The 24754-nt window shown below is 37.9% G+C and overlaps 1 long non-coding RNA gene across 1 annotated transcript, besides 1 other annotated feature; it reads right to left on the bottom strand.

The window, feature by feature from the left end:
• On the bottom strand, positions 1-24754 carry LINC02502 (long intergenic non-protein coding RNA 2502). The gene is made up of 2 exons (NR_121639.1): positions 24619-24754; positions 1-506 (listed from the first exon to the last, which is right to left on the bottom strand). It is a non-coding gene; the product is annotated as a long intergenic non-protein coding RNA 2502 (long non-coding RNA).
• Positions 9279-9853: an enhancer, noted in NCBI's record as "H3K27ac-H3K4me1 hESC enhancer chr4:120875596-120876170 (GRCh37/hg19 assembly coordinates)". NCBI's record gives its function as "activates a minimal SCP1, AML or CMV promoter by ChIP-STARR-seq in naive H9 embryonic stem cells {active_cell/tissue: H9 hESC(naive)}" and the evidence as "EXISTENCE:reporter gene assay evidence [ECO:0000049][PMID:30033119]".

Genomic DNA, 24754 nt, shown 5'->3' with positions numbered 1-24754 from the left:
TGCATGTACACACCAAAAATATGTGTATTTATTATTATTAATAAAAAAAGTAATACAACATGGAAGAAATCGGAAAATAGAAGATCTATCACTTGGGAAGATTTTCTCAAACACAGATGCATGGGATTAGGAAAAGGAAAGCTCAAATGAGATGAGCTGGGATCTTGGAATGTCCTCATTCAGTGAGCCCAGTGAAGACGGAGAAGATGACCTTCTCAGCAGATGACCTGTGAGCCAACCTTATGAAGAATGAGCAGATGGAGTCCTGGGTCCTGCATCACTGGGTTTGGGGCATTCCCTGGAATCCAGGACAGCCACTGCCTAAGCATCCGCCAGGACCCCTAACAGCCCCATTGACTGTTTCTCATCAAAACCAGCTGAATTTTTCAAGGTACCTGAAGCATCAGTTTCTTCAAGTCATTGAGTTCTTTCTTCCCCAAGGGGGAAGTGATGTCTTCTTAAAAAATGCTGAGGCAGTTTTCAATGAGAAATTGTACAGTAGAAACCTGTAACACAAAAGGGGAAAATAGGGTGCTCTTTTCATTTGGCATAGCTATAAATCACATTTCATCTGTGAATCTTGGAGTGAAAAAAAACATGAAATTCAGAATTCTAAGAAAAATTCAGAGTTGATACATAAAGACATGAGCCAGTTTTCTCTAAGAAACAGCTATGATCCTTTCAAGAGCATTTAGGGCATGTAAGTTAAAATACTTATAAGCAGTGGGCTAAAGTTATAATTTATAGCCTAGCTTAATAGTTAACATTTTATATCAGTGGTCATATCTTTAAAAACAGGGTAATTTTCAAGTAACCCCTGTAGGATATTTGGAGTGAAGATAAATATTCTTCACTTCTTGTAAAATATGCACAACTTTAAAGTACCCAATAGAATTATAAAGCACCCAATAGATAAAAACTTGTGAAATTCACTCGTTAAGTATCTTAAACTTGGGAAGCAGATACTCTGAGGGTCTTTCATGAAGGAAGGAGGCAGCTGGAGAGAAAATCTCTGCTCTTCTAACTGCAGTCCCTCTCCATGCATTGCCTGGCCTCAGGATTGCTCTCTGGGTGATCTTGGGAGAGAGCTGGGGTCTTTTTACTAGGTACATTGTAGCTCCATTAGGATATTCTAGAATGTTTTACTAGTTTTCTCATTCCAGCAGCAGAGACAAAATAGTAGCCAAGTAGTTGCTTGAATGTCAATTGTGAGCCCTGATTGACAGAGAAAGGCAATATGTGTGGAGCCATGAGTGTTCATATTATCCAAACCACCAATAAGGTGTCAGTAATGACCAGAGGAGCTGGGCCTTATCACCACTGCCATTGTTGAGCTGAGGAAACCTTGGCTTGGAATCTTTGCCTATGGTTACCCATCCCTCAGTGATGAGACTGAGAGTTGAATCTTGGCTTGTCAAACTCCAAAGACCAGGTTGGTTTCTATCATGTTACACAACTTTCTTATCTCTCTGTGGTATAGTTAATCTAGTGTTTTGTCTCCTAGATGAGAAAAAAGTGACTCACTGCTCTCAATTTCCTATTTAACAACCTACCTTCTCATATACCTTCTACCACTCCTACAATAGGATAAATTATCTGCTACTCCAGAGAACTGTAATTAAAGTGTGCACCTTAAAAAAGGGTTCATCATAGTTAATATCTTGAATTTCAGGTTTAAAGTGGGAGCTCTGCTCCCCAAGGCATAAAAGTGAGAGACCTCATTATCTTTTTCGTGAACCCATTTTCTACTTCTGAGCAGCAGGAAGTAGACAGCTAAAGAATGCTTGGGGCTATACACATGGATAAATTATAAGCTGTCATCTGATTGGCTGAGGAATGCTGCTCAATGTTATGTAACACTCCAAAAAGGTATCACAAGAGAACAACATTGGCCTTGCACTACTGTGCCCTGGGTGTGAGACATGGAGTCAAAGGAGATTATTTTGGAGCTTTAACATTTAGTGACTGCTCTGCTGGGATTTGGACAAGTAAGAAGCCTGTTGCCCCCTTTTTTGGGCCAATTTATCCCTTTTGGAATGACAGCATTTACTCAATGCCTGTACCCCAGTTGTATCTTGGAAGTAACTAACTTGTTTTTGATTTTACAGGCTCATAGGCAGAAGGGACTTGCCTTTTCTCATATGACACTTTGGACTTGGAATTTTGAGATAATGCTAGAATGAGTTCAGACTTTGGGGGATGGTTAGGAAGGCATGAAATGTGAAAGGACATGAGATTTGGGAAGGGCCCAGGGCAGAATTATATGGTTTGGCTCTGTGAACCCACCCAATCTCATTTTGAATTGTAATCCCCGGTGTTGGGGGAGGCACACGGTAGGAAGTAACTGGATCATGAAGATGGTTTCTAATGGCTTAGCATCATCCCCGTAGTGCAGTCTTGTGACAGAGTTTTCAAAAAATCTGCTTCTTTTAAAGTCTGTAGCACTTCCCCTTTAACTCTCTCTCTCTCTCTCCTGCTCCACCATGGTAAGACATTCTTGCTTCCCCTTCACCCTTCTGCCGTGATTGTAAGTTTCCTCAGGCCTCCCCAGCTATGCTTTCTGTGAAGCCTGTGGAACTGTGAGTCAATTAAACCTCTTCTCTTTATAAATTACCCAGTCCTAGGTAGTTCTTCACAGTAGCATGAAGACAAACTAACACAATCACTAATTTTTCACAGATGTTGTCAGTTTAATGGAGATTTCTTTTCCCTTTGTCAAATTTTTAGGCAGGGCTCCTCAAGAGCAGGAGGGCATGGTGTTTGCCTTTGGGCTTTCCTCCCACTGGCTCTACCTGGGAGGAGGGTGTCCCCATAAGTACCAGCCAGGGAGAAGGCTGCAGGGTATTGGAAGCCCAGAAACAACCTGCAAAACAATGTTTACAGAATGGAAAAACACAATGCAATCATCAGGAGTTGTCTGCTAAGGGATGTGTTTTCCTCTTTCATGTTTTATGGCTTCCTACCATAGAACACTTGCTGTGAGGTAGATTGTTGTTTAAAGTTCCCTTTCTTTCATTTCTGATCTATCACTAAGCGCATATTGGTGAGCTCTTGCTTTTCCTTTTTATCTGGCATAGATAGTATGTCAATATTCCATTTAGAACATAAATTAAAATTTGCATTTTGTAGGGCAAAGGAAGCTTTCATAATAGCTATACAATAAAACCAATATAACCTACACAGTAAAACCAAATCCTCAGGGTAACCAGCAGTTAATCCACAATCAAGAATTGGGAACATGTTAAAATATGCATTCAGCATGGCTGCTCAGGGGCCATGATGAGTGGTGCTGCTGTAAGCCTGAGTGTTATCTGTCATCAAGACACTGTTTTAACTAAATTAATGCATTTTATTTAAGCAAATATATTTCCAGTATTCGTTTACTTTTTTTTTAACTTACTTTTTTTTAACTTACTGTTTTTTTAACTTACTATTGCCCAGCAATACTGGCAATCTTGCCACAAATGTATCTAAATTATGTAGACTCTGCTGAATTACTGTAAATATTCCTTCAAGAAAGGCTGAAGCAAAAACATGTTTCAAATGAAGTTATTCTTGATAAGCATTATGATTGCCCTTCATTCCTTAATAAAAATCATGGCCTTGTCCTTATGGAATGTCCTAGGTATGGAGACTCTCTGTCACCTTCTCTGTCTCTCTCTCTTTGTCTCTTTCTCTCTCTCTGTCTCTCTCTCTCACACACACGCACACACACACACACAGAGCAAGAGAGAGAGAGAAAGAGAGAGAGCTAATCTGCTCAAAATTGTATTGCAAATAGAGAGTACAATCTAAAAATCTTTTATTTTAATGTAAGGCTTGGAAGCATCACGTTGGAATCTCTTAAGTCAGGTATACATAAATATCTAGCCAGATAGCCTCAATTCTTGATTGCAATAGGAATTCTTTCTTGTCTGGTGACATGAATCACTTTAACAAAGGAAAATCACAAACCTGGATGAGCCCCATCCCTCTTCCACTCACCCTCTTCTAGATTAAATTTTTATTTAGGACACACATATCATATAGGTTAGGAAGCGAAGCAGAAGTGTCTGCTTTAATCAGCAAATATAAATTCAATTTTATTTTAAATGTATTACAGAAATCCACTAGTACAGAAATAATTGATTTCTTATGTCAAATTCTGGTTGCCCTGAGTTTTTTAGAGGTGTTATTACATCATACAGTCAAACTAAATTTAAATAAAAATATTGGACTTCATGTCACAACAGCCAGAAATTTTCACATTTTTAGGCAATTTTATAGAAGGAACAATGCTATACAAGTATTTTCTTGTTTTTGTCTATCTGAATGTCACTTTCTTTAATAAAAGTTCTCAGTTACATAGACTTCCATCTTTCTTTTTCTGCAACCCTCATCCTCATCCTCACATATGCCCACCTCTCCACTAGAAAACCTCAATAAATGACACCAGCTCTATCAATGTAAAGGAATAGACACTTAAAAGCAAAACAGGATTGAAGTGGTGTGCACACAAATGCCCCCAAATCCATGGTGTCATGAAAGCCTTGTCTTCTTTTTCACCAATTCAGGAGAGGCGTCAGTTACCTAATTATCAGGACCAGCATACAGGGGATGTGGTTTCTAGTCAGGTGTTTCTTATGTCAAAATTTACAACAAAACATGTCCTTCAGGACTCCTCATACTAAGATTGAGTCCTTGGATGATAATCAGGGTAAGTAGGGATGGGAGGAACAAAGAAAGAAGATATTGAAAGAACACTGTGGTAGAGAAGATTGGAACTTTCTTATTAAGATTTTTACAAAAACGTTACTGTATATGTGTAAATATATATGCTATTAGTGCTCTAAAATTGTAGACTGATTTTATTATGCTATCACTTTCAGTTCACACAAAATTTAAAATAGGAATACAAGAAGAGTACCCATATATAAACTAATGTTATATCTTTGTTGTTTTCAATTCCTTAATGTGGAGGGACAAAATATGACTCTGATATATATATATATCAAACATATATATATTTGAATATATATGAATTCAAAAATCAAAGATGATTTTTAATTAAAAATAGCTTGTTGGTAACTTAAAGTTATTCCTAGCTTTAGTAGTGACATGTTGATGATGTCATTTATTGTGTCTGAATTTGTTACTGTTGTGGCTATATACTTTAAAAAGGAGATAAAAAATGGCTGTAAATTAAGAATTTTAATGCATAAGATTACATAATTATTTTCACATTATTATCTGTATTCTAAAGGCAAAGTTTGTTCCAGGTAATGACAAAGTCAAGCACATGTAGAGCATGAATCCTTAATTAAAATTTATTTTCATTCCTTTATATTACATGAAACCAGAAGAAATAACTTCAGGAAAACATATATTTCTCTTAAAATAAATGACTTGTGGCACTTGTAATATAACAGCTCATGCAAGAAAGAGAAAGACCGAGAATTCAGAGAGGGCACAGGGGCTGCGCCTCAGCATCAGGAGGCTACTTCCACAATGGAGGGAACAGTTTAAAAAGGAGGAGCTGGGCCCTTTCTCTCTTCCTGAGTGGTGTTTTTACCATATGGCTTATTTCTTTGCACATCACACATTCAGTTCTAGTAAAATCAGAATAACAACTAGCTATAAAAGACATTTTTCAAATCCCTAGGTAGCGAGCATTTTCTCTGTCAAGCATCACAGTTACTAAGATATTCGTTATTGAAATCTATTGAGACAATTAAATAAAATTTTAGAAATTTAAGTTCCATTTCCAACTCTGCCAGACAGTAGAGTGTCTATAATAGCTCTCTATTGCACTTCACATTGAGAAACTGCTCCATAAAAATAGGAAGACAATTTGCAGAAAATAACCCAAAAGGATTAAGAGGATTCTGAGATGACATCTATTGCACTCTGAATTTCAAAAGATATTATTTTAAAATAAGGCAATATGTAACCAAGGATATTTTCTATGCATATACATTCATAATGAGGGCCCCATTCTCTGATAAACAGTGCTTAAAGAAGACAAATAAAAAACCTAAGTGGACTCCCATGGACTTTAAAGATGATGTTAAAAAATGTATAATTCATTGCTTTCCCTTTCATTTTATTTTTCTTTCTTATGGACTAACTGCTTGACATAACAGATGACCCTGAAAGTTGTTAATTAGGTTTTTATAAACAAAGTCATCTTAAACTCATTGACTTCAAACTATGCTGCTTGTAGCCCTAAGGATTGTGAAAAAGTGTCTCAGAACCCAACAGCAGGGTTCAGAGCACCCAAACTCAGGGATGTCAGGGGCTGTTTATGCTAAGGTGTCTAGGGGGATGTAAGCACTGGACTCTAGCATGGGATTTAATTAAAAGGAAAAGTTCTGTTTTTTTTTTTTTTCAAATGTCTGAAAGTCCTTCCATATAATTTCAAAATTCTACCATGAAATATTTTATAAAGTAAAAATCTCTTTTGAAATGATAATATGCATCCTTTATATTGTTTGTAGGATAACAGGTTTTCATGTCATAAGGAACATATTAAAGTCAAAATAATATTCACAAGGATATGTGTACTTCTTCTTGATTCTGTTCTCCTTGTAGATAGAGCTCTTTGTAAGCAAATAACTTTTTAAAATAAATTTTTATCAAATCATTTTTTAAAAAATGAAACGTGACTATTTTTTTCCCATATGAGCTAAAGTGTTTCTTGATGTATTAAGAGCCAGGAAAATGTGACACATTCCCAAGGGATGAGGCCAACATTAAGATGATCTAGACATTCAAATTATGAGACCAAAAGCAGCAATTACAATTATGCTCCATTACGTAAAAGAAAATTAGCTCATGAGGATAAAAATATATGAAAGTCTTACCATAGAAATATAAATATTTTAAAATGAAAGTTTTAGATCTGGAAAGATCTGCAAGAAAAAATTTCCTGGATGAGCTAAATAGCATAATTGAAATGACAAATGAAAGAGACAGTGAATTTGAAGACAAATCAATAGAAAGCGGCCAGTCCCTGGCCAGGCATGGTGGCTCACGCCTGTAATCCCAGCACTTTGGGAGGCTGAGGCAGGCGGATCATGAGGTCAGGAGATCGAGACCATCCTGGCTAACACGGTGAAACCCCATCTCTACTAAAAATACAAAAAATCAGCTGGGCGTGGTGGCGGGCACGTGTAGTCCCAGCTTCTCTGGAGGCTGAGGCAGGAGAATGGCGTGAACCTGGGAGGCAGAACTTACAGTAAGCTGAAATCACACCACTGCACTCCAGCCTGGGCAACAGAGTGAGACTCTGTCTCAAAAAAAAAAAAAAAAGTATCCAGTCCGAAGTCCAAAGAAGGGGGAATGAAAGGATTGAAAAAAATTAACAGATCCTTGGGGACCTGTGCACAATAGCAATAGGTTTAATAACTGCATGTACTCACTCACATGTAGAAGCTAAATAAAATTTGATTTCGCAGACATAAAAAGTAGAACAGGGCTTACTAGAGGCTGAGAAGAAACAATAGGTGGAATGGAGGGATAGAGAGATATTGGTAATGGACACAAAATTACAGATAGCTAGGTAATGGACACAAAATTACAGATAGATACATCATACCACTGTATGATGACTATAGTTAACAATGTTATATATTTTCAAATAGCTAGAGGAGAGGATACTGAATGTTCTCGACACAAAGAAATGATAAATATTTGAGATGATGAATATGCTAATTATTTTGATTTGGTCATTATATATTTATGTATCAAAAGATCACTATGTACCCTATAAGTGTGTACAATTATGTGTCAATTAAAAAATAAAAATTAGGCCAGGCGTGGTGGCTCACACCTGTAATCCCAGGACTTTGGGAGGCCGAGGTGGGAGGATCATTTGAGATCAGGAGTTCAAGACCAGCCTGACCAACATGGTGAAACCCCATCTCTACTAAAAATAGTAAAAATTAGCTGGGCATGGTGGTGAGTGCCTGTAATTTCAGCTACTTGGGAAGCTGAGGCAGGAGAATCACTTGAACCTGGGAGGTGGATGTTGCAGTGGAGCCAAGATCATGCCACGTCACTCCAGCCTGGGCAACAGAGCAAGACTCTGTCAAAAAAAAAATTAAAATTAAATTTTAAAAAGTTTTAATATACTCATAACTGTAATCCCAGAATGAGAGAAGAGACAAAATGGTCTAGAAAAAAAAATGCTTTAAGTAATAATGGCTAAAAGTTTCCCAAATTTGGCAAAAGATAAAAATTTACAAATTCAATAACTTCAGAAATGTCAAACACAATAAGATTCAAAGAAAACCAGGCTTTGACATATCATAGTCAAACTACTCAAAGCCAAATATAAAAAAGAAAATCTTGAAAGTAGTAAAAATGAAATGAAAAATCAGATAGATGATCAGTGCTGAATGATCATATGCTACTCATCACAAAGCACAGAGACCAAAAAACAGTGAAATAGCTTTAAAGTGTTGGAAGGAAAAAAATGGCAAGCAAAATTCTATATTTGAAGAAAATATCTTTCAAGAGTGAAGGTGAAAGACATTTTTAGATAAAAGAAGCTAAGAAAATTTGTTGGCACCAGACCTATACTGTAAGAAATGCTAAGAAATTTTCTATAGGATGAAATGAAACAGTATTAAAGGGAAACCTGGAGCTTCAGAAATGAATGATGAGAATTAGAAATGTTTATTTCATATAAATTATAACTAAAGTTCACTTTTTTAAATTTCAGGGCAATTTTTCGTGAAAAATGCTGAATGATAGCATTTGCCACAATGAAATCAAAGCAGGCAGACAAGAGTGTCCTTCCCCACAGGAGGCCTCTCTAGTCTCAGCTCCCTCAAGCAAGGCATCTGGTATTTGGAAATAGGTCAGAACATTCGCATGGCCTTTGCTATCAGCCAGGAAATAGCTTTTTTGAACTATCCTTTTTTCCAACCTACGAATACTATTTTGTGTGATCTAGACTTGCTGTAAAGGGGAAGGTGCAAAAAAAAAAAAAAAAAAAAAAAAGGAGAATATGTTTATGAACAACCTGGCTACTGCACTACAACTTCAGAAATCAAAACTTACACAATAATTGAAGCTAAAGGTTTGATTATTTTCCCTAGTAGCATTAAAAAGAATGAGGTAGACATATGCTGATGACTTAAAAGTGATGTCCCTCTCAGCTCAGTTCAATCCTGACATTATTCAGAATGAAAGACTCAAACTCAAAACTCCTGTGTGTTTGACACAACAGCTAACTGCATTACCTGACCCTGGAGTGGATTCTGTGCTGGAAAAGAAACATTATTGGGGTCAACCAACAAAATTGGAACATGAATGGGAGATTAAAACATGCTACCAATGTTAAATCTACTGAAGTTGATAACTGAATGGTGGTTATAAAGAGAATAACCTTATTCTTAGGAAATGCATAAATATTTAATAAGAGGCTATGGTGTATATAACTGTCCTTCAAAAACAGGTGTACACATACATATATATGGAGAAAAAAAAAGAGAGACAGAGAAAAAAATAAATGAAAAAGCAGTGTGGTAAACTGTTAACAAATAAGTCGGGAGGAGGAGCCAAGATGGCCGAATAGGAACAGCTCCGGTCTACAGCTCCCAGCGCAAGCGACGCAGAAGACGGGTGATTTCTGCATTTCCATCTGAGGTACCGGCTTCATCTCACTAGGGAGTGCCAGACAGTGGGCGCAGGCCAGTGTGTGTGCGCACCGTGCGCGAGCTGAAGCAGGGCGAGGCATTGCCTCACTTGGGAAGTGCAAGGGGTCAGGGAGTTCCCTTTTCGAGTCAAAGAAAGGGGTGACGGACGCACCTGGAAAATCGGGTCACTCCCACCCGAATATTGCGCTTTTCAGACCGGCTTAAGAAACGGCGCACCACGAGACTATATCCCACACCTGGCTCAGAGGGTCCTACGCCCACGGAATCTCGCTGATTGCTAGCACAGCAGTCTGAGATCAAACTGCAAGGCGGCAACGAGGCTGGGGGAGGGGCGCCCGCCATTGCCCAGGCTTGCTTAGGTAAACAAAGCAGCTGGGAAGCTCGAACTGGGTGGAGCCCACCACAGCTCAAGGAGGCCTGCCTGCCTCTGTAGGCTCCACCTCTGGGGGCAGGGCACAGACAAACAAAAAGACAGCAGTAACCTCTGCAGACTTAAGTGTCCCTGTCTGACAGCTTTGAAGAGAGCAGTGGTTCTCCCAGCACGCAGCTGGAGATCTGAGAACCGGCAGACTGCCTCCTCAAGTGGGTCCCTGACCCCTGACCCCCGAGCAGCCTAACTGGGAGGCACCCCCCAGCAGGGGCACACTGACACCTCACACGGCAGGGTATTCCAACAGACCTGCAGCTGAGGGTCCTGTCTGTTAGAAGGAAAACTAACAACCAGAAAGGACATCTACACCGAAAACCCATCTGTACATCACCATCATCAAAGACCAAAAGTAGATAAAACCACAAAGATGGGGAAAAAACAGAACAGAAAAACTGGAAACTCTAAAACGCAGAGCGCCTCTCCTCCTCCAAAGGAACGCAGTTCCTCACCAGCAACAGAACAAAGCTGGATGGAGAATGATTTTGACGAGCTGAGAGAAGAAGGCTTCAGACGATCAAATTACTCTGAGCTACGGGAGGACATTCAAACCAAAGGCAAAGAAGTTGAAAACTTTGAAAAAAATTTAGAAGAATGTATAACTAGAATAACCAATACAGAGAAGTGCTTAAAGGAGCTGATGGAGCTGAAAACCAAGGCTCGAGAACTACGTGAAGAATGCAGAAGCCTCAGGAGCCAATGCGATCAACTGGAAGAAAGGGTATCAGCAATGGAAGATGAAATGAATGAAATGAAGCGAGAAGGGAAGTTTAGAGAAAAAAGAATAAAAAGAAATGAGCAAAGCCTCCAAGAAATATGGGACTATGTGAAAAGACCAAATCTACGTCTGATTGGTGTACCTGAAAGTGATGTGGAGAATGGAACCAAGTTGGAAAACACTCTGCAGGATATTATCCAGGAGAACTTCCCCAATCTAGCAAGGCAGGCCAACGTTCAGATTCAGGAAATACAGAGAACGCCACAAAGATACTCCTCGAGAAGAGCAACTCCAAGACACATAATTGTCAGATTCACCAAAGTTGAAATGAAGGAAAAAATGTTAAGGGCAACCAGAGAGAAAGGTCGGGTTACACTCAAAGGAAAGCCCATCAGACTAACAGCGGATCTCTTGGCAGAAACCCTACAAGCCAGAAGAGAGTGGGGGCCAATATTCAACATTCTTAAAGAAACGAATTTTCAACCCAGAATTTCATATCCAGCCAAACTAAGCTTCATAAGTGAAGGAGAAATAAAATACTTTATAGACAAGCAAATGCTGAGAGATTTTGTCACCACCAGGCCTGCCCTAAAAGAGCTCCTGAAGGAAGCGCTAAACATGGAAAGGAACAACCGGTACCAGCCGCTGCAAAATCATGCCAAAATGTAAAGACCATCGAGACTAGGAAGAAACTGCATCAACTAATGAGCAAAATCACCAGCTAACATCATAATGACAGGATCAAATTCACACATAACAATATTAACTTTAAATATAAATGGACTAAATTCTGCAATTAAAAGACACAGACTGGCAAGTTGGATAAAGAGTCAAGACCCATCAGTGTGCTGTATTCAGGAAACCCATCTCACGTGCAGAGACACACATAGGCTCAAAATAAAAGGATGGAGGAAGATCTACCAAGCCAATGGAAAACAAAAAAAGGCAGGGGTTGCAATCCTAGTCTCTGATAAAACAGACTTTAAACCAACAAAGATCAAAAGAGACAAAGAAGGCCATTACATAATGGTAAAGGGATCAATTCAACAAGAGGAGCTAACTATCCTAAATATATATGCACCCAATACAGGAGCACCCAGATTCATAAAGCAAGTCCTCAGTGACCTACAAAGAGACTTAGACTCCCACACATTAATAACGGGAGACTTTAACACCCCACTGTCAACATTAGACAGATCAACGAGACAGAAAGTCAACAAGGATACCCAGGAATTGAACTCAGCTCTGCACCAAGCAGACCTAATAGACATCTACAGAACTCTCCACCCCAAATCAACAGAATATACATTTTTTTCAGCACCACACCACACCTATTCCAAAATTGACCACATAGTTGGAAGTAAAGCTCTCCTCAGCAAATGTAAAAGAACAGAAATTATAACAAACTATCTCTCAGACCACAGTGCAATCAAACTAGAACTCAGGATTAAGAATCTCACTCAAAGCCGCTCAACTACATGGAAACTGAACAACCTGCTCCTGAATGACTACTGGGTACATAACGAAATGAAGGCAGAAATAAAGATGTTCTTCGAAACCAATGAGAACAAAGACACCACATACCAGAATCTCTGGGACACATTCAAAGCAGTGTGTAGAGGGAAATTTATAGCACTAAATGCCTACAAGAGAAAGCAGGAAGGATCCATAATTGACACCCTAACATCACAATTAAAAGAACTAGAAAAGCAAGAGCAAACACATTCAAAAGCTAGCAGAAGGCAAGAAATAACTAAAATCAGAGCAGAACTGAAGGAAATAGAGACACAAAAAACCCTTCAAAAAATCAATGAATCCAGGAGCTGGTTTTTTGAAAGGATCAACAAAATTGATAGACCACTAGCAAGACTAATAAAGAAAAAAAGAGAGAAGAATCAAATAGACACAATAAAAAATGATAAAGGGGATATCACCACCGATCCCACAGAAATACAAACTACCATCAGAGAATACTACAAACACCTCTACGCAAATAAACTAGAAAATCTAGAAGAAATGGATACATTCCTCGACACATACACTCTCCCAAGACTAAACCAGGAAGAAGTTGAATCTCTGAATAGACCAATAACAGGCTCTGAAATTGTGGCAATAATCAATAGTTTACCAACCAAAAAGAGTCCAGGACCAGATGGATTCACAGCCGAATTCTACCAGAGGTACAAGGAGGAACTGGTACCATTCCTTCTGAAACTATTCCAATCAATAGAAAAAGAGGGAATCCTCCCTAACTCATTTTATGAGGCCAGCATCATTCTGATACCAAAGCCGGGCAGAGACACAACCAAAAAAGAGAATTTTAGACCAATATCCTTGATGAACATTGATGCAAAAATCCTCAATAAAATACTGGCAAACCAAATCCAGCAGCACATCAAAAAGCTTATCCACCATGATCAAGTGGGCTTCATCCCTGGGATGCAAGGCTGGTTCAATATACGCAAATCAATAAATGTAATCCAGCATATAAACAGAGCCAAAGACAAAAACCACATGATTATCTCAATAGATGCAGAAAAAGCCTTTGACAAAATTCAACAACCCTTCATGCTAAAAACTCTCAATAAATTAGGTATTGATGGGACATATCTCAAAATAATAAGAGCTATCTATGACAAACCCACAGCCAATATCATACTGAATGGGCAAAAACTGGAAGCATTCCCTTTGAAAACTGGCACAAGACAGGGATGCCCTCTCTCACTGCTCCTATTCAACATAGTGTTGGAAGTTCTGGCCAGGGCAATCAGGCAGGAGAAGGAAATAAAGGGTATTCAATTAGGAAAAGAGGAAGTCAAATTGTCCCTGTTTGCAGACGACATGATTGTTTATCTAGAAAACCCCATCGTCTCAGCCCAAAATCTCCTTAAGCTGATAAGCAACTTCAGCAAAGTCTCAGGATACAAAATCAATGTACAAAAATCACAAGCATTCTTATACACCAACAACAGACAAACAGAGAGCCAAATCATGAGTGAACTCCCATTCACAATTGCTTCAAAGAGAGTAAAATACCTAGGAATCCAACTTACAAGGGATGTGAAGGACCTCTTCAAGGAGAACTACAAACCACTGCTCAAGGAAATAAAAGAGGACACAAACAAATGGAAGAACATTCCATGCTCATGGGTAGGAAGAATCAATATCGTGAAAATGGCCATACTGCCCAAGGTAATTTACAGATTCAATGCCATCCCCATCAAGCTACCAATGACTTTCTTCACAGAATTGGAAAAAACTACTTGAAAGTTCATATGGAACCAAAAAAGAGCCCGCATTGCCAAGTCAATCCTAAGCCAAAAGAACAAAGCTGGAGGCATCACACTACCTGACTTCAAACTATACTACAAGGCTACAGTAACCAAAACAGCATGGTACTGGTACCAAAACAGACATATAGATCAATGGAACAGAACAGAGCCCTCAGAAATAATGCCGCATATCTACAACTATCTGATCTTTGACAAACCTGAGAAAAACAAGCAATGGGGAAAGGATTCCCTATTTAATAAATGGTGCTGGGAAAACTGGCTAGCCATATGTAGAAAGCTGAAACTGGATCCCTTCCTTACACCTTATACAAAAATCAATTCAAGATGGATTAAAGATTTAAACGTTAGACCTAAAACCATAAAAACCCTAGAAGAAAACCTAGGCATTACCATTCAGGACATAGGCGTGGGCAAGGACTTCATGTCCAAAACACCAAAAGCAATGGCAACAAAAGCCAAAATTGACAAATGGGATCTAATTAAACTAAAGAGCTTCTGCACAGCAAAAGAAACTACCATCAGAGTGAACAGGCAACCTACAACATGGGAGAAAATTTTCGCAACCTACTCATCTGACAAAGGGCTAATATCCAGAATCTACAATGAACTCAAACAAATTTACAAGAAAAAAACAAACAACCCCATCAAAAAGTGGGCGAAGGACATGAACAGACACTTCTCAAAAGAAGACATTTATGCAGCCAAAAAACACATGAAGAAATGCTCATCATCACTGGCCATCAGAGAAATGCAAATCAAAACCACTATGAGATATCATCTCACACCAGTTAGAATGGCAATCATTAAAAAGTCAGGAAACAACAGGTGCTGGAGAGGATGTGGAGAAATAGGAAGACTTTTACACTGTTGGTGGGACTGTAAACTAGTTCAACCATTGTGGAAGTCAGTGTGGCGATTCCTCAGGGATCTAGAACTAGAAATACCATTTGACCCAGCCATCCCATTACTGGGTATATACCCAAAGGACTATAAATCATGCTGCTATAAAGACACATGCACACGTATGTTTATTGCGGCACTATTCACAATAGCAAAGACTTGGAACCAACCCAAATGTCCAACAATGATAGACTGGATTAAGAAAATGTGGCACATATACACCATGGAATACTATGCAGCCATAAAAAATGATGAGTTCATATCCTTTGTATCGACATGGATGAAATTGGAAACCATCATTCTCAGTAAACTATCGCAAGAACAAAAAACCAAACACCGCATATTCTCACTCATAGGTGGGAATTGAACAATGAGATCACATGGACACAGGAAGGGGAATATCACACTCTGGGGACTGTGGTGGGGTCGGGGGAGTGGGGAGGGATAGCATTGGGAGATATACCTAATGCTAGATGACACATTAGTGGGTGCAGCGCACCAGCATGGCACATGTATACATATGTAACTAACCTGCACAATGTGCACATGTACCCTAAAACTTAGAGTATAATAAAAAAAATAAAAAAAAAAACCAAAACAAAACAAACAAACAAACAAAAAACAAATAAGTCAATCTGGGTAAATGGCATATGGGTATTCTTAGTGTTATTTTGTACTTTTCTGTATGCTTACAATTATTTCCAAATAATTAAAAGCCTTTAAATTGAAAATGAGCAAACATTTTTAAAAAGTGGAAATAACCAAAATTACTCTGTATGTAACTAGTGATGATTGGGAAAAAAGTTTAATTTCAGTAAGAAATGTCTGCTTGTGAAAATCACTTTATTACAACAAACCATTAGAGTTTATTGACTTTTTTTTTTTTTTTTTTTGAGACAGAGTTGCACTCTGTCACCTAGGCTGGAGTGCAGTGGCATGATCACAGTTCACTGCAACCTCTGCCTTTCAGGTTCAAGCAATCCTCCTGTCTCAGCCTCCTGAATAGCTGGGACTATAGGCCAGCATCACAGTGCCAGGTTAATTTTTTGTATTTTTTGTAGAAATGCAGTTTTGCCATGTTGGTTAGGCTGGTCTCGAACTCCTGAGCTGAAGTGATCTGCCTGCTTTGGCCTCCCAAAATGCTGGGATTACAACCCTGCACCTGCGTGCCTGGCCCAAGTTCATGAACATTTAACATGCAATATTCTTTTCAAGCTTAAGTATTGTAGTTAACATGGATTCCTCTTGCTTCATATTGCTTAGTCCTTAATTTTTAAACATGTGAAAACATACATGAATATATAAAAGTACACTTTTCCACACAGTATTTTCTAAATGCTTTCTTTCTCTCCTCTCTTTGTCTCTCCTTTCCTTCCTCCCATCTCTATATCATCCCTGTCTCTATCTCCTTTTCATTCTGCCTAAGGCAAATACTTGGAATTTAATATTTGGCCTCAAAAACAGTTACAGAGACACATTTCTTGATGTCCTCAGTGAAGATTTGAAGGCGAATGCTTTCAGGTGGTCTTTCTCTTTGGCTAGATTGATGTACCTAATCAAATTTAATAATATCCCAAAATAGAGTAGGATAAATTAGCTAATTGCTTATTTTCAAATCAATCTATGTTGCTAATATTTTAAATATACTTACAGTATTTTTAAAAACATGTGGCTAGATTCAGCAACATCAAATCATGGGTTGAAAAAATACGCAAAATATTTCAGGAAAATAAAGCATGGCCTCCAAAATAACAAGTTGCCCTGTGATATCAGATTTGGGCAGGAGTCAGTCCTCAAACACTCCGCCTGGATTGGAAGGCCCAGCATCTTCTTGGGTTCAAGGGTAGAAAGCATGTATAGGAACTTTTTCCTTTTTTTTTTAGAGACGGTTTGGGTCTGTCACCCAGGCTGGAGTGCAGTGGTTCAATTATAGCTCATTGCAGCCACTGCAGCCTCTGTAATCTTGATGTCCTGGCCACAAATGATCCCCCTGCCTCAGCCTCCCGAGTAGCTTGGCTAACAGGTCAAGCTACCATGCCTGGCTTGGAAATTTATTTTATTTATTTATGTGTTTGTTTTTAAAGGCTAGTCAAGTGAAGTGGTGGAAGTGGAGAAGGAATAAATAAATCTGTAGCTCGTTGTGATCAATTAATTATAAACACCACTGCATTCGGACTAGCCTGGCTTGGAAAATTTATGTCTTAAGAACAATGCTAGCTCCAATCTATAGGATGGAGAGAAGGAAAAGATGAGAGTGGTAATCAGAGCTTCCTCGAAAATAAACAAAACATACAGATAAATGAGAAAACAATATTTACACAGAGGCAGTCATGTTAAATCTAAATAAAAAGTTGTTCGAGGATGGTCTAACAATTTCTATTAAGGAAAAGGGGAATAATTTGGGAATACTGCTTTGCAGAGATTTACATTCTTTTATTGCAAATTAAAGATTTAAAATATATATACTGACAAAATACCTTGGAAGGAAAGAGCACCAGTGTTCCTTTAGTTCTGAAGAGCTACAGTTTTTAAAAATGGGAGAAAAAGTTAAACTACATAAAATATTCATAACAACATATTAAGACTGTCATTCTAGAAAAAAATATCAGCAGCCTATTGTTACTGATGTGGGTACACGTGTAAATTGTACTGTCCTCATAACTAGGCCTCTGATGGGCCCTGCTCTTTCACAGGCAGTATTACAGTGATGGGAAGTAGATCTCAGAGTGGAAGACAGGTTGGTTTGGAAGTTAAACACTTAATTGTAACTATGTGATGCAAGCTATGTCATCACAAGCGAGTCACTTAACTGCTCTGAGCTCCGGTTTCCGCAACTGAAAACTGGGTTAGTTAAACCTCTGAGTGTTCTTGTAGCTTGAAGTGCTATTCAAATATACAGAATATTAGTTTTCAGGTTAAATCGTACTTATGAAATTTGGCATTTGGATGGAACACTCTTGGCCAAGAAACAATACTTTTTTTAGAGAAAAAAACACAATATGTTATTTCTTTATAAGATAAATAAATTGCTATATATGATTTGCTAAAATTGGTCCCTATTGGTTCTCAGAAAACTTACTCTTCATTACTACAATTCTCTGATTGAGGTCAATTCACCTATTGTTTACTAAAGATTAATATTTTCTCCACTATTTCACTGCAGCATTCAATATCCAAATTGAAAATGTTTTAAGGTTCATTCATACATGGACTTATCACCCTCTTGCTATTTAAAAAGTCGTAGTATAGTTACATATAGCATACAATTGACCATTAGTGACATTTAGCCCATTCACAATATTATGTACCCATCAACACTATCTCTTTTCAGAACATTTTCATTACCCCAAAGCAAACTCTATACCCATTAAGCAGTCACCCTCATTCCCCTCATTCCTAGCACCAATACCACATTTTGTTTATTCATTCATCAGTTGACAAACATATGATTTGTTTCCACTTTTAGGCTATTATGAACAATGCTGCTATAAACATTTTGTATGAATGTATGTTTTTATTTTTCTTGGGTCTATATGTAGGAATGAAATTGCTGAGTCAAAAGGTAATTCTAGGTAAAACTTATTATGGAGCCATCAAACTTTTCTGCGGAGGCTGCCACATTTTATTTATCTACCAGCAAGAGCTTCCCTACTCCCCATCTCCACACCACCTCAGGATCAGGAGAGTGGCCCACCTACTTGGCCCAAAATATGCATAATTACATATATTCCATGTCTAATTACTCATGCCAGTTTGTAGAAGAGTAATAACAGCAAAAGAAATAGGTGCCAGTCATTGTTGTAAATGCCTTATACATATTCATATAGCTTTATAACAAATACGACAATGTAAACCTGGTTTCCACTTTCCCCCTCATTAAAAAAAAAGGCTTTTTGAAAACTCTCTCATCAAAGATTTTACATGTTTCCAGTTTGAACTTCCCTCTTTTACCTGCAACATAGAGAAGACATTAAGCAACAGAAACTGAAAACCTTTACAGAAATATTTTACGAAAAAGAAGATATGCAGGGAATGATACAAACATATATTTCTTCCCAGTGAGCTTTGGAAATGTTTTCCTAAAGTAAATAGCTGCACTGAAGATTCTGTTAAATTAATAACTTGGAAACATTTTATTTGTCTCAACCTTTTATGGTGATGCATGAGGTTTGGTAGAGTGGACGGAGGAGGAAAGAAGAGTGTTGAGTGCATACGATGAACCCTCACTATATAAAACAAGTATGAAACTTGGTGTGTGGTGGTTCAGAGCAGGAACTACGAATTGCACGATCCCTGTGAACCCAAGAGTGTCGACCCTGGATGTCCACGGTAGGAAGCCACATTACCCATCCTTATGCCAGCCTAAGAATGTGTATTAGAAAACTGACCTGCATTCCATGAATCAAACCTTTGTTTTAGACTGTCACCTCTCTATAGACACCAATAGATAATCTGCTATACAAAAATTCAGGCAATCCAGTATATGATTATTTGATTAATTTCATTTGCATTTTTTTGGTGTGTGTAGAAGGCATCCTGCTATGTTGTCCAGGCTGATCTTGAACTCCTGGCTTCAAGTGATCCTCCCAACTGGGCCTCCCAAAGTGCTAGGATTACAAGTGTGAGACCACCCTGCCCAGCCTATTTGTATTGTTAGATTACATTTATTCACAGAGTTAATTTGGGAGTATAAAAGCAATTTTTCAAACTTAAATGGGCTATTGAATAATACTCGGTGAAGAAGGATCTATTTTAGAGGTTTAAAAACACAGATGAGACTGGGCATGAGGGGTAGGATGTTGGAAAGGGAGTTCTAGAGACTTCCTCCCTCAACTCTCCTTCCACAGCCCCTGAACACCCACTCCCCAAGTACTCAAAGAGCCGTGTTGAAAAACCACTGATGAAAACTAAAGGAAATTGTTCCAATAGTTACCACGATTTAACTACCATTTGCACATATTTGCACAGAAAAACCTCTTTGGGGAAAGTACAAAGTACGCAAGTGCCATAGAGGAGGTCAAAAAGTGAGTTACTGGCTTAACAGACATCATATTAAAATGTTTTGCATTTTAAGAAAGTTTGGGGAAAAATTTAATTACTTTTCTCTACCTGTCCAAGACAATATGAAGTTGACTGTGCCCTTTCATAGCTAACCCACATAAACGCAGGACCAAGGTGGGGTCTTACCAGAAGATGGCCATTAAATTCACCAGGGGCCAGGCCAAGAGAAGGGATCTCCCAGCACAGGTGCGGCCTTTCCCAACTTTGTCCACACCATTGGCTGTCCACAGGTTGTTCAGTGGTATTTTATTTTTTAATCCAAAAGCATTTTCTATACTTAGAAAGATAATCAAGCCGGATCTCTGTCAGTTTGTTTCTTAGATGCTGTGGGAGCAGCTGTACTCATGGAAAGATACCAGTTCTCCCTGTTCCAGGGCAAAGCAGGCCTAATTCATCTCTATTACCCTATACACATGACACAGGGGATAGACGAGCGTTTACAAAATGTGTGCTGAGAGAAGCCTGGCTCAAGAAGGTGCTGCACACACTTTATGAATGGCAGCAAATAGCTATGGACTGACTGGTCTATTGAGTATGAACCATACTTTACCTTTTAAAAATACTGCTTTTACAGAGAACCATTAATACATTTATTATCTATCTCTTACTTCAAAAACATTTTGAGGAACTGAACAAAGACTAAAAAATGCATGACTTATAAAAATATTAATATTTATAGAAGTTTTACTTAGGAGAGACAAACTAAAAAATATATAACCTTGAATTAGAGGGATATAAAATACATTTCAACCTTAGTTTTTATAAGTTTTTTTAGCCTTTAAAGCAGAGGTTATTTTAAATTTCTTTTCTTAAGATTTTGTTCATACCACTTTTTTTGATAGATTGTGGTTAAAACTGAAAAACTATAGCCTACAAACTAAATCCAACTTAGAAAACAAAACCAAACATATCCCAACTAGAGGCCAGCAGGTCTTCTATGTAAGTGATGGACACACTTCCCATTTATCTCTGGAGAGTAAGAAGGTGATCGATTTTGTCAGCAGTGAAACTGCTTTTTTGACAATTTCTGCCTAATCTGCCTTAGACTTCTAATATAGAAACCACCATATCTTCTGGGTTATTTTACAAATTTAATGCTCAGGTGGACTTGCATTTTAAATAGTTATAAGCCTGATGAAGGATTCCCAGGCACTGTGGGCACAGCACTCAGGGACTTCCCACTAGTCAGAAGTACTTGGGGAGACACCAAAGCTACAATGAGATCAAAGATGCCTCATGTGGAAATCTCCCTGTGACTTCACTGATTCATGAGACAATGCTAAAACTCTTCAGTGGAACTTATGAAATGAAAAGAATTTTGCAGGAAGCATACATGAAGAATAATCTAGATGCAGAGCTTAGGGCACATTGAATATAAGAATACACGTTGAAAAAGTGTCTTGTGATATAAGATGACTTTTTTCCTGAAATTTTTTTAAATGTTTTTTACCCTATGTCTGTGTATCTGAAGATTTTTATGAAACAATTAGTTATCAGATAAAATCATTTTTCTAGATATCACCTCTAAAGGCATTATCAAACTAACACTATATGGCCCATTGGAAATGTGACAAACACCTGCTTGTTTTTATAGATTTTTAGATTTTCTAATATAAGTATCTATATGTACAAATCTGAAGATTCTGTGTGGAAACTTCTACATATGAGGACTTGGAAAAATTTATTTGAGTAATTCTTCTTTTAGTTCAGTAATGTGCTCATGCTGTCCAGTTTTTTGAAACCAAATCAAGGAGTTATCTAAAAGCCCAAAACAGGAGGCTAGGTGCAGTGGCTCATTCCTATAATCCCAGCACTTGCGGAGGCTGAAGTGGAAAGATCACTTAAGCCTGGGAGTTCAAAACTAGCCTAGGTAACAGAGTGAGATTCCCATCTCTATAAAAAAAAAATAAAAAATTAGCTGGGTGTGGTCGCATATGCCTATAGTCTCAGCTACTCCAGAGGCTGAAGTGGGAGGATCCCTTGAGGCCAGGAGGTTGAGGCTGTAGTGAGCTGTGATCATACCACTGCACTGGGTGACAGAGTGGGACCCCAGAACAAAGTTTATATTCTCCTACAATATTTACTAAGCATCTACCATGTGCCGATCACTCTTCTAAATATTTTATTCACATTGTTTCATTTAATCCGGAAATTGCAAAAACAGCAATTACTTTTGCACCAACCTAATACATCAACTAGTCTGTATTAGCCCCATTTTATAGATGAGGAAACTCATGGAGAGGTAAAGTAAATTGCCCACATTATAACACAGACAACCTAACTTGCAAGCCTATCCTTGTAACCACTTGGCATCTGTGGGTGTTGACCCACCTTCTAAAGTTCTTGAGTGGAAGAATAGTTCATGATGTACTCCCTTCATCTTTCCTACCCTCAGCCTTCCTCCTTTCCCCAGGACCATCAGGCTTGCTGATGGGATTGCTCTTTGAGAATGAGGGGATAAATCTCATAACATTATATCAACAAACTAGATACCACCTTGGAATGTTTAAAATGTATTACAACATAGCTTTGTACTCAAATGGATTTTCTTAGGGTCCCTCTATGTTTCTTCACTCTCAGTCATTGACACTATTATACTATTTCAGTAGAAATAAGAAAGTGTGAATTTAATATAAACTGGCTCACAGGAGGAGGAGGAAGATGAGGAAGAGTAGGAGTAGCAGCAGAAGAAGGGAAAGAGGAAGAAGGAAGAAAAGAGGGAGGAGGAGGAGGAGAAAGAGGAGGAGGGGTGAGAAATCTATTTTAGTGTTTATACTGGAGAAAAAGCCCCAGTGAACCCTGGAAATTTACAGGATTCTAAGGATATTTCCACAGTTCTAAGATAGAGATGCTCCCTTAGGTGCCTGGGAGTAAGGGTCATGTATCATGGTAAATTTCATAAGTATTTGTTTGCAATTCCATAACTATAACAAGTTAATAGTCATCTTCATCTTTTGACATAAACAAAATTCATTTTTCATTGTTTCTGTATTCTTTTACAAGTAAATATAATGGTAGTGATGACAAGGAGGATGTAGGCCAAGTACAACCTCTTTCTTTAAAGTTTTCATGGATCTCTGCTAGTAATAATATATTAATATTTATAAAGCAGATTCTGTCTTTAAAAAAAGCCATAATTTTATTTGAAAAAATAACTTCTCATTTAACATTCAAATGAATACCAAGAGTGCTCACAAAGGCCTCAACTGACTTTAATGAGAACAGAAGTTTTTAATGTCATATAAAATAAATGACAATAATCACAGAATAATTTTTACTATTAACATCCAGCGAAACTGGAGCAAACATAATGCCTTTGTGAAGAAACAAACATTTAAATCCCTTTTGTTATAATACACAAACTAAAATTTACTTATTTTGACAAAATACAAATGTGGCAATTGGTCAACTATTTTTTCCACTTGAGTTGATTACTGTAGCATCAACATAAAAAGCGAGAGAGCTTCCAACCAGAGCCTGGAGGTGAGCTGAGGCCCAGTGCAACCTACATCATTCCACTCCCTTTTTATGGATAGTGGAAAAACTAGGCACCAAATTCAGATTATTAATTTGAACAGATTAATTGATTCAAGGTATAATACAATGCTCCTTTTTAGAGTGAGATGTGACAGGGAAGAAATATTTGTTGTTGCAGGGAGCTATTTCTTTTTAGTAGTTGTTTTTCCCTGAAAAAAAAATTGTCACACTAATGGTAAACATAAATGTCCTCAGATGTTTACTGTGGGAAGGCTTGTACCTAATTTCCTAAAAATTATGATAAAAACTAGTACAAGGCATCAGCATTCATTACTGACAGAAAACTTTAAAAAAAAATCTGTTTTCTATCTCAAGGGCCTTGGACTTACAACCAAATTAAAATAACTTCTATCACTTTCACTTTCTAATATTCCCAATGAATGTAAAAAGTATACAAAAATAATCTAGGAACTGAGTCTCTTAAACAAAGATGTTATTAAATATATAGATACAAATTTTTTCACATCATAAAAAGCCTTGCTTGGATGCAAAGAGCCATCTCAAAAGCAGTATGCAAAAAATGAAAAATGTTGCACATCTTTTGTGATAATGAGCCAAGCAAAATAAAAATTCAGCTCCTCCATAGATACATTTTTTTTTAGCAGACAGAAAGGGAACATTGTCTTTATAGGAAATGTTTTTAGCAGAATACTATAGATTCTATAAAACCCATTAAAGGGTTATTGGTGTCCAGGACAACAAATGGCTTCTGGTAAGAAAATAAAGGGCTACTCTTTCTAAATACTAACATAACTACAAAGATTAAGACAAAATAAGTAAAGGAAAATATGTTCCCCTTAAAAATTGAATGTGAGTGGTCTGCAAGGTCCGAAGAAGGACACAATGAGCACTCTTGTTGTTTATCTTTCAGGCTGAGCCCAGTTGGGTACAATGAGGGGTGGCAGAAAGAGCACAGTCTTGCCTTGAAAGCTGGCCTGGACTCTAGTCAGTCCCTCCCTGCAATTTCCCAGGGCCACTTACTGACCCTTTCTCAGCCTCTGTTTTCATATCTAAAACCTAGAAATGATGAAAACCTACCTTGGAAGGCAGTAGAGAAAACTAGATGAGACCTCGGTAATGTTTCTAGTATGGTTCTGAGAATCTCTCCAATAAATTTTAGTTTCCGATATGTAGTTCGCTGGGTTAAATACAGAGAATGGTAACTAGTTGTAAT

The sequence above is a fragment of the Homo sapiens genome, chromosome 4 (genome assembly GCF_000001405.40).
Source record: "Homo sapiens chromosome 4, GRCh38.p14 Primary Assembly".
NCBI lineage: Eukaryota > Metazoa > Chordata > Mammalia > Primates > Hominidae > Homo > Homo sapiens.
Note: the sequence above shows the minus strand (reverse complement) of the source record. Positions and strands in the feature narration are given on the sequence as shown.